Source organism: Homo sapiens, chromosome 12, assembly GCF_000001405.40.
Source record: "Homo sapiens chromosome 12, GRCh38.p14 Primary Assembly".
Taxonomy (NCBI): Eukaryota; Metazoa; Chordata; class Mammalia; order Primates; family Hominidae; genus Homo; species Homo sapiens.
The window spans coordinates 69,516,829-69,536,598 of record NC_000012.12 but is presented as its reverse complement, the minus strand read 5'-3'; the positions used below and the strand labels follow the sequence as shown (position 1 = coordinate 69,536,598).

Below are 19,770 nucleotides of genomic sequence, written 5' to 3'. Positions count from 1 at the left end.
CAAAAAAGAAAAAAAAAAATTAAAAAAAAAAAAACTAAATCTATCGGTAACACAATTGACTAAAGTTCTCCAGTTAAAAAATAAAGATTGTCATTCAGAACAAAAATAAAACTCAACCTTATTCTATTTACAAAACTCCAATCAAAATACATGAAAAACTAAAGAATGAAAATACTGGCCGGGTGCGGGGACTCACGCCTGTAATCCCAGCACTTTGGGAGGCTGAGGCGGGCGATCACCTGAGGTCAGGAATTCGAGACTGGCCTGGCCAAAATGGGAAACCCCATCTCTACTTAAAAAACAGAAATTAGCCAGGCATGGTGGTGCACACACGTAATCCCAGCTACTCAGAAGGTTGAGGCACGAGAATTCCTTGAACCCAGGAGATGGAGGTTGCAGTGAGCTGAGATCATGCCACTACACTCCAGCCTGGGTAACAGAGTAAGACTTCGTCTCCAAAAAAAAAAAAAAAAAAAAAAAAAAAAAAAAAAAAAAAAGAATGAAAATACTACAGTAACCAAAAGAAAACTATACTAGCTATATTAATCCAAGAAAACAGCAATAACAACAATTAAAAAAAAACTGTAAGGCTAAAAGTGTGTTCAGATAGAGGGCCCTTTCATAATGATAAAAATTCAATTCAACAAACAGATAAAACAATTCTAATTCTAAATTGTTTAATTATTTTGGCTTATTATTAATGTACTTAATAGCATACATTCAAAATAAATAAAGCAAAAATTAACACATCTATAAGGAGAAACTGACAAACCCATAGCCATGGTGAGAGACATTAATTACCATGTCTTTCTTACTAGAGAAACTCATAAATCAGTCCCCAAATAAAACTAAACCCGAATCCAAAACAAAACCAAGACAGAGAAGATATGAAGAGAACAATTAACAAGTTCTTAGACATAAATATAACACTGTACTTAATAACCGAAAAAGCTGCATTCTTTCTAAATACACATGGAACATTTATAAAAATTAGCCATATTCTAGGTGGGAGGATTGCTTGAGCCCAAGAGGTCAAATTATTTGAATCCTTTCATTTCCCTCCATATTTTATAAATTAATCACTTAACAGCAATCATTTCAAAGCAAAGAGACTATCTGATTATGAAAAATAATATGATGCTCATGTAATACAGGGCTGCCACTGTTCAAGCTACTTCACATCTTAAATACATCACATTTACGCCCTCATTTAAGATCAACACATCACTGTAGGGATTAACAAAAAAGGATAAAAAACAAAAATAACACATTTCATTTAAGTATCTACATCAACGCCTGTATCTAGATCTCATTTCAAGTATTAGTAATGGTGCCCACAGTAAAATCTTAACAGCATCTCAGGTAAATGGGATGTTAGTTTGACCATTCTCACTGTCCTTGAATCATTATTTTTACCAAATTGGCTACTTATTTGTCAGATACGCCCAGAACCTATCTTTGGATGCCTTGAGGAAAAAACACTCAGTTTTTTAAAAAGAAGAAATGGAACAAGTAGACAACACATTTTTAGGAATTTCCAAATCATTCTGAAATTACAGTGCCAAAGAAATACACAATTACAAGGAACACATCATTTACTTGGGACTATTAATACTGTATATATGACTGAAAAGGATCAACTGGAAAGATGACATTTATTCCAAGATAAATAATTTAAAAAACAATAAAAATATGTATCTATCAAGCAAAATAAATTCATTGCCATTTCATCTACCATCAAAGCACCGTCCCCAACTTTAACCCCAAACACACACATACATACAAGGCAGACCTTTTTCATCTAAACTGTAAGCCTGTGGCTTACATGAAAACAAAATGCTTTTAACCACACACAAGCTCCAGCGCTCAGACTTGTAGTTTCTACATGCTGCCCACACAGCACTTTGTGAGCATGTGATTAGGAGGAATGATGCATAATCACACCACATTCCTTCCCTCAGCTCACACATCGAGAACTTGCCCTCTCAGCTGCATTCTTCTCCAAACAGCCATGGTCACCTTAGCAACCCTGTACTCCTAATATGGACAGCTGGTCCATTTAAAGTCAGTACTTCTTGGCAGGGAAAATGCTTGTTCTTCAAATTGGGGGAGAGAGGAGAGGTTTTCCTTTCAGTACACATTACAGGGGTTGATTTAACTTGATCAGCACTTTTGTTACGTGGCAGCAATTTGTGTTGAGTTTCAACCTATTCTGAATTTTGTTTTTTTGTTTTTTAATCTAAAAGCACGTAGCTGAAAAAATAAAATCAAGCCAGCTAATAAGGAACTCTAAGAGTGGAACATGAAACAAAAAGGTACCTAAAATAACTGTTCTTTTATAAACTATAAAACAATCCACATTTTTGTGTATTACGTTCAACCTCAGTTAAAATGAACTGTAACACCTGAAGCCCTAATACACAATAAGACATCAGGGTCAGAAGACCCACGTCTTTTTAATGTCATAGTGTATTTTTGAACAACAAAAAGACTGCTAAACTTCAAAGACCCATAACTCCAAGTAGACTATCAATCTGCATTTCCATATTCCACCACCTACATGTGAAATCTCTCTCAGTCTTTCCACAGGCTTAAATGTAAGCTAGGTGTAAGCCAAGTGGTTACTATTACATATCTGAAGACCCTTCAGACCTAAAATGACCTAGAATAGCACTGGATTCCTCAAAAACAATCTAAATCTCTGCCTCTAACAATAAAGCAGTGTCTGAACCAAATTAAGCCTTTTGGGACGGAAGATACTGGTTTATAATCCAGTATACCTGATTTTCACACTACAAACAAATAATTTGGCGGGGAGGGGATTACTATATTCTGAAAAACACAAGATCAAATTGCTCATTTCATCACCCCGATGAAATTCTAATTTCCCACCCATCAAAACTAGACACATAACCTTTAAGTAAACAGGCATGCTCAAAACTAGAAATATGGCCAGGCGTGGTGGCTCACACCTGTAATCCCAACACTTTGGGAGGCCAAGGCAGGCGGATCACCTGAGGTCGGGAGTTCGAGACCAGCCTGACCAACATGGAGAAACCCCGTCTCTACTAAAAATACAAAACTAGCCAGGCACAGTGGTGCGTGCCGGTAATCCCAGCTACTCAGGAGGCTGAGGCAGGAAAATCACTTGAACCCAGGAGGCGGAGGCTGTGGTGAGCCAAGATCGCGCCATTGCACTCCAGCCTGGGCAACAAGAGCAAAACACCATCTCAAAAAAAAAAAACCTAGACAACTTAAATTTATGGCATTCATTCTAAATTGGAAATACTTCTGAAATACTTTTCTATATAACAGAGGTGGACCTTCCACATTAATAAATGTTCCTTTGACTATGGCCTACAGTATTCACTGCTTATATTTTTGTCTGTATATGTGTGTTTTTTAAACTTCTCAGGCTATGAGGTTCTTCCTGGTTAGAAACAACTTCTTTCAAGTTAAGACTATCCTAGTTGTTATACCTTTTATATACAGGAAAGTATCAGCTGATAGGGTGGCAGTATAAGATTAGTAAAAGAACCTAAAGCCAATCCTACTACTGGTTTCCTCATTTGTAAAATGAGAATACTATCTATTCTATTTATGCAGTGTGGTAACACATCAAAGTAAGAATAAGAAAATTACTATGCCATACAAAAGACTCAAAATTAAAGAAACTGGAGAAAGGAACTATGTTACCTGATGTATAATTCTCTTAGTTTTTAAAAAGGATGGCGGGATTATTCAACAATGAATAGAATAACAAGTCAATATCAACTTCAGTACTTTCTGGTCTTCCCACCAAAGATCTTATAAATACTTAAGTGCTGATATATAAATTAATACTTATTTTAAAAAGCCCTAATCTTGGCTTCACTTTCAGCAGATGTGTGAATTCCCTTCCTGCTATAGTTTGAATGTGTCCCTTCTAAAATTCAGATGCTGAAATTTAATGGCCAATGTGATAGTATTAAGAGACGGGACCTTTAGGAGGTGACTAGGTAATGTGGGCTCCTTCCTCATGACCTAATTAAGGCGTTTATAAAAGAAGCTTTGCTCAGCATTAGTTTTGCTTGCCCTCCACCTTCTGCCATGCAAGGACACAGCATTCCTCCCCTCTGGAGGATGCAACCCTTACCAGACAAACAAACAAATCTACCAGCCCCTAAGAGAGCTCCTATGAACCCTCTACTCCTCCAAGTCACGTAGGCAATGTCCACTGAGTAAAAGATAAATGAGCCCCAATGGAAGAACTTTTTTCCTAAAAAGGATAAACCCACTCAATAAGCTCTGACCATGAGAAGCAGTATTTGAATTTTAAAGGTGACTACTTTTATCATTCCCTTTTATCCTAAATTCAAACAAGATGATCTGTGTCTTGCTAGCAAATTCTGACATAGTAAAACAGTGGCTAATAAATTAGTGAGAATCCCATAATAAAGAAAAGATATTAAATAAATACATGGAAACAAATTTTTAAAAATCAGGAGCAATTAAGCCTTACTCAACAATATTAGTTTTATTACTATATTTACAATTTCTTACCTTGTGGAATTCTCTTCTGAGAAAAACAGATACAATTTTGTTCCTAAAAAAATTTCAGGTAGAAAGTGGAAATGTTAGTTTCAAGACAGTCTACTAAAAATGAAAAATTACAAAATGCTAACAGAGTACATTCAGAATATTACGCTATGACATTTGATATTACGAAAGCTTGAGAGACAGTTGGTCTCTAATAACAAAAGTATGTGTTATAAAAAACCAAAATGTATTACTTTTATTACAAAAATACTTATTCTATTCTCTAAATATCAAGTCATTTTGCTAGGTACCTGATGATATGTGGCAATTTTTATATTCTAAAACAGCTGTTAAGTCAAATAGATTTTATACTCTTTCTAAGACTTGATGTTCTGAAGGGTCCTTTTTTTTTTTCGGTGTAATTCACATAAGGTAAAAAGCATTTCTTTGAACAGTGTTTTTTTTACATATTCACAAAGTTTTGTAACCATGACCACATCATCTAATTCCATAATATTTTCACCACTCCAATAAGACACCCCATACTGAAGGGTATACTTTTAATCCTAGGAAGAAACATACGAAACAAATTTAATTTTTAAAAATATGCAAGTAGCATAATGACCAAAATTATGCTGTAAGATACATCACAGAAATACACTTCTTAGAGCTGTATGGTAGAATTTGTACTACAAAGTAAAACCAAAAATACAAGGTAACTTTAATGTCTACCTTTTTTTTTTTTCTTTTTGAGACAGTATCTCACTCTGTTGCCCAGGCTGGAGTGCAGTGGTGCAATCTCAGCTCACTGCAGCCTCCACCTCCTGGGTTCAAGAGATTCTCATGCCTCAGCCTCCCAAGTAGCTGAAATTACAGGTGCGTGCCAACATCCCTGGCTAATTTTTATATTTTTAGCAGAGACAGGGTTTCACCATGTTGGCCAGGCTGGTCTTGAATTCCTGACCTCAGGTGATCCACTTGCCTCGGCCTCCCAAAGTGTTGGGAGTACAGGTATGAGCCACCATGCCCAGCCTGTCTACCATATTTTTTAATTAAATGATTTTCAAAGTAGATAACTACAAAGTTAAAAAAAAAAAAAAAAAGATTTGGCCACACTTACCAAGCTGGTTGACATGCCACAGCTGCATCTTACTTTATGACAAATGGACTGTTTCATCACTTTTGCATCTGGGCATCTACTTCTTAATGGTCATTTCTGAAATATAGGTTAAGTTATTAAGAATGTTACTCTTGAATATATTATAACAAAACTCTTTAAGAATAATTATCTAAATTGTAGTGACCAGAAAGAACTCTCAAAGCACTTTTTTCCCCTTTGAGACAGGGTCTCATTCTGTCGCTCAGGCTGAAGCGCAGTGGCACCATCACGCCTCACTGCAGCCTCAATCTCATGGGCTCAGGCGATCCTCCCACCTCAGCCTTCTGAGTAGCTGGGACCACAGGTGCATGCCACCACGGCCAGCCAATTTTTTAAATTATTATTTGCAGAGACAGGGTCTCACTACATTGCCCAGGCTAGTCTTGAACTCCTGCACTCAAGCAATCCTCCCATCTCAGCCTCCCAAAGTGCTAGGATTACAGGTGTAAGCCACCATGCCCAGCCTCAAAGCACTTCTTGAGCAACCTTCTCATAAAAAACATTATTAACAGAGCTGAGACTGAGGTGGGAGAGATAGAAAACTGGCTATTTGTACCACGGGACCAGAACTCTTCAGTCCTCAATTCCTGTCACCCAGTGGGACCTTGCAACTCCGGAGTGCCATTTACAGACTGGAAAAAAAAAAAAAAGAAATATATGGTAGCCCTAATATAGTACATTCTGAATACAACAAATTGCTTATTTATTATAAACAATTATTATCATTAATTGTTGTAAGCAATTATTATCATTAATTGTTATAAGCAATTATTATTGTTATTGTCAACTTTCCCCCTATAACTACAATGTAAACCACAGAAGGGGTTTTTGTTGGTTTTATTTACTGGTTTTTGTTTTTTTTTCTTTTGAGACGGAGTCTCACTCTGTTGCCCAAGCTGGAGTACAGTGACAAGACTGCAGCTCACTGCAACCTCTGCCTCCCAGGTTCAAACAATCCAACTGCCTGCCTAGCAGTTGGGACTACAGGCGTGCTCTACCACACCTGGCTAATTTTTGTATTTTTAGTAGAGACAGGGATTCACCATGTTGGTCAGGCTGGTCTTGAACTCCTGACCTCAGGTGATCCGCCCGCCTCAGCCTCCCAAAGTGCTGGAATTACAGGCGTGAGCTGCCACATCCAGCCTACGGGTATTTTTCAAGCACCTAAAACAATGAATTCCATGCTATAAGTGTTCATAAGGATTTACTGAAATGATTAACAGATGAATTTTTTTAACTTAAATTGATGAAATATTTAACCTTCCAGTACTATTTATTTATTTATTTATTTATTTATTTTTGAGACAGGGTCTCACTCTGTCACCTAGGCTGGAGTGTTGTGATACAATCTCGGCTCACTGCAACCTCTGCCTCCCAGGTTCAAGTGATTCTGTCTTAGCCTCCCGAGTAGCTGGGATTACAGGCACATGCCACCACGTCTGGCTAATTTTTGTATTTTTAGTAGAGACGAGGTTTCACCATGTTCGCCAGGCTGGTCTCAAACTTCTGGCTTCAAGTGATCCACCTGCCTCAGCTTCCCAAAGTGCTGGGATTACAGGAATGAGCCACCATGCCCAGCCTACCTTCTAGTATTTTAAAATGTCACTACCCATGTAGTGTTCATCCTAGGAGCTCCAGTTTCAAAAGATATTCATATTATTACCACTTCCACTCTTACTACGATGGTCCAAGCCACAATATTTTGCATACACATTAGTATAATAGTTCCCTGTCTGATCTCCCAGTCTCTCTCTTGCTCACCTCAACAAGTCAGTGAGATTAGCCATTTTCAAAAGAAAGTCAGATCATGTCATTCTTCTAATCGAATTCTCCAACTGAGTCCAGCTCAGTAGTCTAAAAGCCAGACTCCTTACAAAGGCCCATAAAGACCATGATCTGCTATCCCCCACCCCATCTCTCTTACCTCATCTACCACTCTCTCCCTTATTCACCCCATTCAAGCTATACCAGCATCTTTCCTTTCCTTAAACTTATCAAGCACCTTCTCACTTCAGGATCTCAGGACTTGTTTTTCCCTCTGCCAGTAACAAGAGATATCTCTCTCTCTGGCTTATTTCTCCTCTTCCTTTAGGACTTTGTTTTTGTAAGTCATCTCATCAAAGAAATCTGCCCTAGTGTCCTGAGCAAGCCCAAAATAGCTGTCTTAGTTTTCCTTATCTGGCAAAGAATTTGTAAAGAATAGTAAATTATAAATTTGGGAGATGGTAATCTTCAAACATAACATCATCAATTTTTAGATCTTTCTTTGTGTCTAAACATCTGTAGAGCTACACTGTTCCTTTTAAAAGATTCTTAAGTTCCCGACTTCAAAGAAATAATGAAGATGTATCTATCAAAGTGTGGTTTTCTTAAACTGTTGTTTTGTTTTTAAATCATCTGTACCATAACTCTAGAACAGAGTGGTAGAAGATTTGAATTAAAAGAGTCCCATCAAAAAACAAAAACCAGCAAAAAAATGGCATTCCCTTTCCTCCCACTTTGTTAGGGATTTCTGTTTGGGATTATATTATAAGGTTCCAGGTAATCTCAGGAAGTTTAACTGCTTCAAATTTATCTGTTACCTTTAGATATCAAGACCACCAGGAAACAATCAAAAGAACTCACTAACTCTTAACATGACTAAACTAGCTATGACATGGTAGGATGTTTAAACTTAATTATTTTTTCTTTAAATAAACAAACTCCCCCTAGGCTAAGCCCTCCTCTGCCTTTTAAACATTCTATGGCTGGCAAACTTCAGGGTCTTAAGAGAGATAGCCAGGGGACAGAGAAAACAGCAAGTCTGACTCAGTGATCACATTTAACAGTCCCTGAAAACCAAAACAAAGATACAGTTCTGGCAAGAGTTCTCTAGAATTGCTGCAAAACTGACTTATCCACATACCTTTCATCTGAACAATCTATTTTCACTTACTTTAAGGTACATAAAGCATTTGTTATGTGTCTATCAGACCTTAGGTATAAAAATAAACCAAGAGTACAAAGAAAACAATTAGCAGGGGTTCCAAAAGTTGGATGATGAAATTTAATGTTCAAATCTGCTTTGTTTGGAAAGTTGGAGAGAACCCTTGAATATTTTTGTACCGAAATGCTCCCACTCATTTAGAAATCAGAATTTTAGCAAGTTCAACCACTTGAAAGAAAGCTAGTAATATTAAAAACTTTTATTGAGCAACTTCTATGTGCCCCATATTTACATTAGTTAATTCTCAGAATTTCCCAATCAAAAAGGTTAAAGCACACGGTGGTTACTAACTTGTCTAAATCAGAGATAGCCTCAGGATTCCAAATCCCAGTTTGTCTTGTTCACTATTATAATCTGCAGTAAACTGGAATACAGTTATTAACGACAAATCCCATATTTGTGCCATAGGAATAACATGTAAATCCAGGCTGTTTATGTAAAAATTTGCTTAAAGCCAGGCATGGTGACCCGCAACAAGAATCCCAGTTACTTGGGAGGCTGAGGCAGGAGGATTCTTTGAGCCCACGAGTTAGAGTCCAGCTTGGACGATGTACCTAGACCTTGTCTCTTTAAAAAAAAAAAAAAAAAAAAATCATTAAAAAAAAAAAAACTTTGCTCCATTCTTGCTTCAGACAAGAGGACAAATGAAGAAAGATTCACTGCTATACATTAAGAGTAAACCTGTGGCATTAGGGGATTATTAAGGGCATTAAGGGGTGAATCCAAAGAATGTGCCATGCTTAGGTCTAAAAGAATTGAGTAAAAATAAGCTGGCCAGAGCAAAGCACAATAATTGGTTTTCAAATCACCTTTAAATGACTGATTGTTATTCCATACACTTAGAAAAGTCAGGGAAAAAATGTCAGGGTTCAATGGGGTGGCCACACAGGTGTTCATCAAAAGTTTCTGCACTGGCTGGACGCGGTGGCTCAGGCCTGTAATCCTAGCACTTTGGGAGGCCAAGGCGGGTGGATCACGAGGTCAGGAGATCGAGACCATCCTGGATAACATGGTGAAACCCTGTCTCTACTAAAAATACAAAAAATTAGCCAGGCGTGGTGGCACGCGCCTGTAGTCCCATCTACTCAGGAGGCTGAGGCAGGAGAATCACTTGAACCTGGGAGGCGGAGATTGCAGTGAGCCGAGATCGTGCCACTGCACTCTAGCCTGGGTGACGGAGTGACACTCTGTCTCAAAAAAAAAAAAAAGTTTCTACACTTTTCTGACTATCTGAAATATTTTTCTCTCTCATCTATCTACATACATACACATGTATATGTTAAATTATCTTTAAAGTAATTTTTAGAATTTATAATGAAATTATTAGTTCTATTAATTTTCCTAATTTTCTTTTTCTAAAAAATCCTCTCATGTGGAACACATTCTTGACATTATCAGATAACACTAATTGGCTTTATTTCTTCATACTCAATAGCATCTGATTTTATAAGTGTCATTAATGAAAAAATATTGTGTAGGAATATTTTCTTTCTGAATCGTAAGCTTAATTGGTTATTATTAGATTGAACTACTGCCTATCACATAGCAAAAGTAATATACCCACTGTATTTTCAAATGAAAATCAAAGTAATTCCTTCTCAGGACACATTACCCAGGAAATGTAGCCTTATTATACTAATGTCCTAAGTTAGTTGGAAAAAGTGAAAATTCCTTAGAACAAATTATCCCCATGATTAAAAAACATGCCATGTAAACATCAGTACAACTTAGATTTACACAGAGAAACAGACTGATCAATTTAAAGTTTCCCAAAGGATGGGCCAGGCACCATGGCTCACACCTGTAATCCCAGCACTTTGGGAGGCCGAGGTCAGCAGATCACCTGAGGTCAGGAGTTGAAGACCAGCTGATAAACATGGTGAAACCCGTCTCTACTAAAAACACAAAATTAGCCGGGTGTGGTGGTGCATGCCTGTAATCCTAGCTACTTGGGAGGCTGAGGCAGGAGAATCGCTTGAACCCAGGGGGCGGAAGGAAGTTGCAGTGAGTCAAGATTACACCACTGCACTCTAGCCTGGGCAACAAGAGCAAAACTCCATCTCAAAAAATGAAATTAAAATCAAAATAAATAAAGTTTCCCAAAGTACTAAATACATATGCTAGTCTTCTAAATATTTGTGATCTGGAAATTATCAGCAAAAACCAACATTCTTTTAAAAAAACACATACCACTTGGTTGAGTTTATGGTGCTAAAAAAAAAAAATAATCTCCCTCACAGTCTCCATTGCACTGATGGTTAATAAAGATGAAGGAAAGGAAAGGAGAGGAAAGAGAGGACACGCGTTCTCAAGATACCAATTATAAACAATACAACTTTATTTTTTTTAAGCCTTAGGATTTTAGTGTTCCTTTCTCAGTAACAAAGACTCCGTGTGCAGACCTAGAATTAGGAACATATAAAGATAATGGGAAGGTCTGCATGGTTTTGAAATCAATGTTGGGGGTTATCACCTGTGGCATTTACTTGTTTTGTTTTGTATTTTAAGGAAATGCAGATCACAGAGCACATAGATATGTATTGTTTCTTGAAACTTTATCATACACACAGTCTCTCTATAGTCAATGTTTGTCTCATCTTTCTCTCCTTTCCTTCCTTCCTCTTGAATACTCACAAACAGTATGAATAATGCATATTTAAATACTTGTGGTTTGTATAAAAACATGCTACACACATTCTAGGCCATGACATAAAATGCATTTTTTTAGTAAAAAAAAAAAAAACAATATTACATCTTAACATTGTGATTTGATTTAGAGCATCAAGGTAAAAACTTCCAGAGTGGAGGACTCTCCAAGATGGCTGACTACATGAAGCCAGGAGAAACAGCTCCCACCAAGGGACTGGGACATCAGGAAGACTCGTGCACTCCTAGCAAACCTTCAGAGGGAAGGCATTAAGATCAGAGGGAAGAAAGATACAGGGCATAGCTGAAGCGGGAGGAAGCTGGGAACCCTACACAGGGCTACCAGGCACCCAGGACTAGTTCCTGGCCCCCAGTGATTCCTGCAGAAGGGGTGAGTTGAACAGGCAAGGAGCAACCTGCTCTCACCAGGGGCCTCTGGAATCCCAGTAGGAAGAGACCCCTCTGCCACCATGGACACTTGAGTTGGCAGGGACAGCTACTTAGAGAAGTGGTAGTAGCAGAACTCCAGCCTGTGCCAAGTCTAGAGGGTTTGGTGCTGCAGCCTCTGTAGTGGAACACGGCCAGGGATGCCCATTCCCCTAGAATTGACCTGCCCCCATAGGAGATTTTAGCCCTAGTGAAACTGTCAGATCTGAACTCTGCAGAGCCAGTCTTGTCCATGAAACAGGGCCAGTTTGACGTGAACACCCTTTAGTCAGCTGGCCTCTCCCAGGGTCCCACCCTGGCCACACCTGCATGCAGTGCAGCCCCCAGGTACCTCCTGGGGGCCGCATCACAGCTCCTGCACTGGCAGGCCATGCCTGACTGGCAGAGTGCTCTAGCAGAGCTGCCCCACAGACACACACCAGGCTGCCTGTGCCCTCCCCCAACTGTGCCCTCCCCTGTGCTGCTTTGCCTACAAGCACTAGCCCACAGCAACCCCTCACATCACTTTGCCAGCATGTGTGTGCCAGCAGGAATCTTGTCTTCCCTTCCCAGCCAGGGTGTCTGCACCCTGCCATGCCTCTGCTGCCGTGAGTGCACCCCCGTCCCCTATCCCCCACCATACCACCACTGTCATAGGAGCACTGGCAGCAATGAGACCACCAGCCCCTGCCGCCGACACTGCTGCCTGCCCAAAACTAAGCATGGAGAACAGCAGACTGCCCCCATGAGTGCCCAATTCTATTCCTTGCAGGGACCCCCTGCCCTCCTCCAGCCATGCTGCCACCCAGCTGCTGCAAATGCCTGCATGGAGGCTGGCACCCCGGCGCTGGCTAGCACCTTGCCACAGTCCACACACGTCCACACTGCCACTGCTGTTGGCACGTGCAAACGAGTACAAGGACCAAGCCTGCTGCTATCACCCTATGAAGTGCTTTGGCTGGCACTTGCCCATTGGAGTGTGGTGACCAGTGTTCCTGGAGCACTGGAATTTAATATCCGGCCAAACCAAGCTTCATAAATGAAGGAGAAATAAGATCATTTTCAGACAAACAAATGCTGAAGGAATTTGTTACCACTAGACCTGCTTTACAAAAGCTGCTGAAAGAAGTACTAAATATGGAAAGGAAAGACCCTTACCAGTCACTACAAAAACAAACTAAAGTACATAGACCAGTGACACTACAGGGCAACCACACAAAAAAGTCAGCATAACAAGTTAACATCATGATGACAGGATCAAACGCACACATATCAATACTAACCTGCAATGTTAATAGGCTAACTACCCCAATTAAAAGGCACAGAGTGGCAAACTGGATAAAGCAGCAAGACCCAATGGTATACTGTTTCAAGAGACCCATCTCACATGCAGTGACACCCATGGACTCAAAATAAAGGAGTGGAGAAAAATCTACCAGGGAAATGGAAAACAGAAAAAGCAGGGGTTGCAATCCTAATTTCAGACAAAACAAACCTTAAACCAACAAAGATCAAAAAAGACAAGGGCATTACATAACGGTAAAAGGTTCAATTCAACAAGAAGACCTAACTATCCTAAATATCCATACACCCAACACAGGAGCACCCAGATTCATAAAGCAGGTTCTTAAGAGATCTTCAAAGAGACTTAGACTCCCATGCAATAATAAGTATGAGGCTTTAACACCCCACTGACAGTGTTAGACAGACCTTAGAGGAGGAATATTAACAAAGATATTCAGGACCTGAACTCAACACTGGACCAAATGAACCCGATATAAATCTACAGAACTCTCCACCCCAAAACAGAATATACATTCTTCTTATCGCCATACGGCACATACTCTAAAATCAACTACACAATTGAATATAAACAATCCTTAGCAAATGCAAAAGAACCAAAATCATACCAACTACCTTTCTGCACCACAACATAAGAAAAATAGAACTCAAGACTAAGAAAATTGCTCAAAACCTTAGTTACATGGAAATTAACCTTCTCCTTAATAACTTTTGGGTAAACAATGAAATTAAAGCAGAAGTCAAGAAATTATTTGAAACTAATGAGTACAAAGATACAACCAGAATCTCAGACACAGCTAAGGCAGCGTGAAGAGGGAAATTTATAGCACTAAATGCTCACATAAAAAAGTCAGAAGGACCTTAAATAAACAACCTAAAATTACAACTAAAAGAACTAGAGAAGAAAGAGCAAGCTAACTCCAAAGCTAGCAGAAGACAAGAAACAACCAAAATCAGAGCTGAACCAAAGTAGACTGAGACACAAGAAACCATTCAAAAGATCAATACACCCAGGAGTTGGCTTTTTGAAAAAAATTAATAGATAGACTGCTAGCTAGACTAATAAAAGAAGTGAGAAGATACAAATAAACACAATGAGAAATGACAAAGACAATGTTACTACTGATCCCACAGATATAAAAATACCATCACAGACTACTACGAACACCTCTATGCACACAAACTAGAAAATCTAGAAGAAATGAATAAAAGAAGAGCTAGTACCATCTGTACTGAAACTATTCCAAAAAAACTGAGGAGGAGGGACTCCTCCTTAACTCATTCTATGAGGTGAGCATCATCCTGATACCAAAACCTGGCAGAGACACACACACACACACACACACACACACACACACACACACACACACAAAGAAAACTTCAGCCAATATCCTTGATAAACATAGATGCAAAAATCCTCAACAAAATAACAAGCAAGCCAAATCCAGCAGCACACCAAAAAGTGAATCCCCTACAGTCAAGCAGGCTTTATCCCTGGGATGCAAGTTTGGTTCAACACATATAAATTAATAAATGTGATTCATCACATAAACAGAACTAAAGATAGAAACCACATGATCAATTCAATAGACGCAGAAAAGGCTCTCAATAAAATTCAATACCTCTTCACATTAAAAACTCTCAACAAGGCTGGGCGCGGTGGCTCACGCCTATAATCCCAGCACTTTGGGAGGCCGAGGCAGGTGGATCACGAGGTCAGGAGATCGAGACCATCCTGGCTAACACAGTGAAATCCCGTCTCTACTAAAAATACAAAAAATTAGCCAGGTGCGGTGGCGGGCACCTGTAGTCCCAGCTACTTGGGAGGCTGAGGCAGGAGAATGGCGTGAACCCGGGAGGCAGAGCTTGCAGTGAGCCAAATCGCACCACTGCACTCCAGCCTGGGTGAAAGAGCGAGACTCCATCTCAAAAAAAACAAAAAACAAAAAACAAAAAACAAAACTCTCAACAAACTAGGTACTGAAGGAACATACCTCAAAATAATTAGAGCTATCTATGACAAACCCACAGCCAACATCATACTGAAAGGGCAAAAGCTGGAAGCATTCCCCTTAAAAACCAGCACAAAACAAGGATGCCCTCTTGCCACCACTTCTATTCAACATAGTATTGGAAGTCCTGGCCAGAGCAATCGGGCAAGAGAAAGAAATAAAGGGCATTCAAATAGGAGGCGAGGAAGTCAAACTATCCTTGTTTGCAGACAACATAATTCTATATCTAGAAAACTCTACAGTCTCAGCCCAAAAGCTCCTAGATCTGATAAACAACTTCAGCAGTTTCAGGATACAAAATCAATGTACTAAAATCACTAGCATTCCTATACACCAACAACAGCCATGCTAAGAGCCAAATCAGGAATACAATTCTGTTCACAATTGCCACACACACAAAAAAAATACCTAGGAATACAGCTAACCAGGAGAGTAAAAGAGTTCTACAACAAGAATTACAAAACACTGCTCAAAGAAATCAGAGATGACACAAACAAATGGGAAAACATTCCATGCTCATGGATAGGAAGAATCAATATCGTTAAAATGGCCACACTGCCCAAAGCAATTTATCAACTACCAATGACATTCTTTACAGAACTAGAAAAAAAAATTTTTTAATTTATACGGAACAACCACCACAAAAAAAGCCCAAATATCCAATGTAATCCTAAGAAAAAAGAACAAAGCAGGAGCCATCATGCTACCTGACTTCAAATTACATCACAGGGCTACAGTAACTCAAACAGCATGGTACTGGTACAAAAACAGGCATACAGACCAATAGAACAGAAGATAAAGCAAAAAAATACGGCCGCACAACTACAACCATCTGGTCTTCAACAAACTTGATAAAAACAAACAATGGGAAAAGGACTCCCTAATCAACAAATGGTGCTAGGATAACTGATAGCCATATGCAGAAGACTGAAACTGGATCCCTTTCCAACACCATCTACAAAAATCAACTCAAGAGGGATTAAAAACTTAAATGTAAAACCCCAAACTATAAAAACTCTGGAAGACAACCTAGGCAATATCATTCTGGACATAGGAACCGGCAAAGATTTCATGACGAAGATGCCAAAAGCAATTGCAACAAAAGTAAAAACTGACATATGAGATCTAATTACATTAAAGGGCTTCTGCCCAGCAAAAAAAAAAAAAAAAAAACTAATAATAGAGGAAAAGAGACAACCTACAGAATGAGAGAAAATATCTGCAAACTATGCATCTGACAAAGCTGTAATATCCAGCATCTATAAGGAACTTAAACATATTTTCAAGAGAAAAGCAACCCCATTAAAAAGTGGGCAAAGGACACGTACCAACACTTTTCAAAAGAACACATAAACGTGGCCAACAAGCATATGAAAAAAAGCTCAGTATCACCAATCACTAAAAAAATGCAAATCAAAACCACAATGAGATACCATCTCGCACCAGTCAGAATGACTATTATTAAGAAGTCAAGAAATAACGTGTTGGCAAGGTTACAGAGAAAAGGGAATGCTTATATACAGTTGGTGAGAGTGTAAATTAGCTCAACCACTGTGGAATGCAGTGTGGTGATTCCTCAAAGAGCTAAAAACAGAACTACCATTCAATCCAGCAATCCCATTACCGGGTATACACCCAAAGGAATATAAATCGTTCTGTCATAAAGACATACGCACATATATGATCACTGCAACACTATTCACAATAGCAAAGACACAGAATCAACCTAAATGCCCTTTAATGGTAGACTGGATAATGAAAATGTGGTACATATACAACATGGAATACTAAACTGTCATAAAAAAGAACAAGATCATGTCCTTTGCAGCAACAAAAGGTGGAGCTGGAGGCCATTATCCTAAGCAAACTAACACAGGAACAGAAAACCAAATACCCCATGTTCTCGCTTATAAGTGAGAGCTAAATGATGAGTACACATGGACACAAAGAGGGGAACAACAGACAACTGTGGCCTACCAGAGGGTGGAGGGTGGGAGGAGGGAGAGGAGCAGAAAAAAATAACTATTGGGTACTAGGCTTAGTACTTGCATGATTAAATCATCTATACAACAAACCCCGTAACACAAGTTTACCAATATAACAAACTTGCACACGTATTCCTGAACTTAAAAAAATGAAACTTCCAGAGTGAGTTTTCTTCTATGTCTTCAACATTATGCATAAGAGAGGCATACAAATGTAAACGTCATCAGAGTCTGTGATTTTACTGTTTTTCATGAATTTTAATGCAATACACAAAATATTCACTATGAAGAGCAGCCTGGTATTAAAGCAGGTTTGCCTTTTATACAATCCCAGGGAACTGACTTACATGAATACCAAAACACCTCAGTATTTGACAACCTCTTCTTGAAGATGGTATCTTCATATCTATGTGTCCCAGAGACTGTCACCCAGTCCATTAACTTCCTCAGAAGTGGATGCAATTTGTATAAAACACACCTTGGCCCCCTTATTTTCTACGCAATAATCCATAACTTCAAAAATAGAAGTCAATGAAAACCAGTTAAAACTTTTTTTTTTTTTTTTTTTGAGACGGAGTTTTGTTCTTGTTGCCAAGGCTGGAGTGCAAGGGCGCTACCCGCTTCCCGGGTTCAAGCGATTCTCCTGCCTCAGCCTCCCAAGTAGCTGGGATTACAGGCATGCACCACCACACCTGGCTACTTTTGTATTTTTAGTAGAGATGGGGTTTCTCCATGTTTGTCAGGCCAGTCTCGAACTCCAGACCTCAGGTGATCCACCTGCCTCGGCCTCCCAAAGTGCTGGGATTACAGGCATGAGCCACTGTGCCTGGCCTACAACTTTTTTTTTTTTTAAGACAGGGTTTCACTTTGTCAACTAGGCTGGAGTGCAGTGGCGCCATCTCTGCTCACTGCAGCCTCGACTTCCTGGTTTCAAGTGATCCTCTTGCCTCAGCCCCCAAAGTAGCTGGGACTACAGGCATGTGCCACCACACCCAGCTAATTATATTTTTTCTATGTTTTCACAGAGACAGGGTTTCACCATGTTGCCCAGGCTGGTGTCAAACTCCTGAGCTCAAGCAATCTGCCACCTCGGCCTCCCAAAGTGCTAGGATTACAGGCGTGAGCCCCCTGGCCAAAAATAGTTACAATTAAAAAAAAAAAATCTGCCTTTATCTGTCAGAAGGAAAACACTATCTTCATTTGTCAGTAGTTCTGGTAGGCTCTAAATATTTTTCAGGAGTGTACAGGATATAGAGACAAATTTTCCCACAACTAAATTCTAAGGTAATTTCTCATAAGTGGGAATTGTACAAAAGACAAAGAAGGAATCACCAACGTGTTCAACCAGTTTCCAACAAATTGAGAAGTAGAATTCATGTTTCATGAAGAGGTCTTCAATAAATCCATATCTCAAAGCACTCAAGACAAGCTATACCTGTTTTCTCTGAACTACTGCTGTGAAATAGTGTTTCTCATGAAATCCACAAAACTTAGTTAAGATAAGCCAAATGAATTCAGTGGTCCTCCCTAACTTGTGCCTCATTCCTTATACATAAAAAAAATGCTTAATATTTTATATATAAATGCAATATAGGAAAAAAATGCTAAGAAGAAGAGGAAAAAAGACAAGCCCTATAAATTTGCCACATTACAACATATTTTTAGAGTGGGGGGAAAATGCCTGTGAAATCATTTTATATTTTACAGGTAAAGAAAATGAAGTAGCTTATGAGCAAGGAAAGAACTCAAGTTCGCAATATAAATGTTTTTCCCCCCAGAATTACACATTCCAACAAATTTATAGGACATTTTAGCTTAATACATGTATAACATACATGTATTAAATATGAATCAGAACCGACAGCAATGCTGAAGAGTTTAAATAAATGCATGAATTATGAGTTAAAGGAAATTAGAAATGGCCTATGTGCCCTTTAGGAATGGCAGAATTCCAGTAAGAAATCTGTTTCCTTGGTGTGGCTCTTTAGGACAGTCTAGGGTCAGTGGATCACTGCTTTGGCCTCACACACCATTTCTTATCTAGATGATTAGTTAGATTCACCATTGGCAAATGCCCCTAAAGATTAAAAAAAAAAAAATGTACAGGTTGAGTATCCCTTATCCAAAATGCTTGAAACCAGAAGTGTTTCGAATTTCACAGTTTTTTCAGATTTTGGAATATCTGCATATACATAATGAGATATCTTGGGAATGAGACCAAGTCTAAACATGAAATTCATTTACATTTCATATATACCTTATACATATAAGCTGAAAGTAATTTTATACAACATTTTAAATAATTTTGCCCATGAAACAAAGTTTGTATATACATTGAACCATCAGAAAGCAAAGGTGTTGCTATCTCAGCCACCCACGTGGACAATCTGTGGTGGTTTAGCACTATCATCATTCTGCACACAGAAAAGGTAACTACAGCTGTGAGGGCTGGGAGGGTCTTTTTTCCCTTGTGGAGGATGAATAAGCTGTGTGTTGTGTGCCTGTGTTTTCACTGTAGCCCATGACACGAGGTCAGATGTGAAATTTTCACTGTAGCATCATGTTGGTGCTCAAAAAGTTTTGAATTTTGGAGCATTTCAGATTTCAAATTTTTGGATTAGGGATCCTAAGTCTATATATGCCAACACTGTTTTCAAAAATGGACTACTGCTCATTTCAAAACTGATTCACTAAAAAGTTTGTATAAGAAGCATAAATCTTAAAAGTGGCAGAATA

General features: G+C 38.9%; 1 protein-coding gene across 15 annotated transcripts in view, besides 1 other annotated feature; it reads right to left on the bottom strand.

Annotated features, from left to right (window-relative positions):
• The window catches only part of FRS2 (fibroblast growth factor receptor substrate 2), a 109,406-nt gene that overhangs the window by 43,195 nt on the left and 46,441 nt on the right, over positions 1-19,770 (bottom strand). For 13 of the 15 annotated variants that reach the window (NM_001042555.3, XM_017018718.2, NM_001278355.2 and 10 more), the window contains 2 exons: positions 5,639-5,734; positions 4,543-4,585 (listed from right to left, as the gene is read on the bottom strand). The exons of 1 other annotated variant lie outside the window; for it this stretch is intronic. The gene's annotated coding sequence lies outside the window, so the exon portion shown is untranslated. Of the gene's footprint in view, positions 1-4,542; positions 4,586-5,638; positions 5,735-6,233; positions 9,234-19,770 lie in introns of those variants that run through there. One more of the 15 variants, XM_047428120.1, reaches the window with a different exon arrangement.
• Positions 8,424-8,624: a silencer, noted in NCBI's record as "peak1784 fragment used in MPRA reporter construct". NCBI's record gives its function as "represses an SCP1 promoter by STARR-seq MPRAs in K562 erythroleukemia cells {active_cell/tissue: K562}" and the evidence as "EXISTENCE:reporter gene assay evidence [ECO:0000049][PMID:32103011]".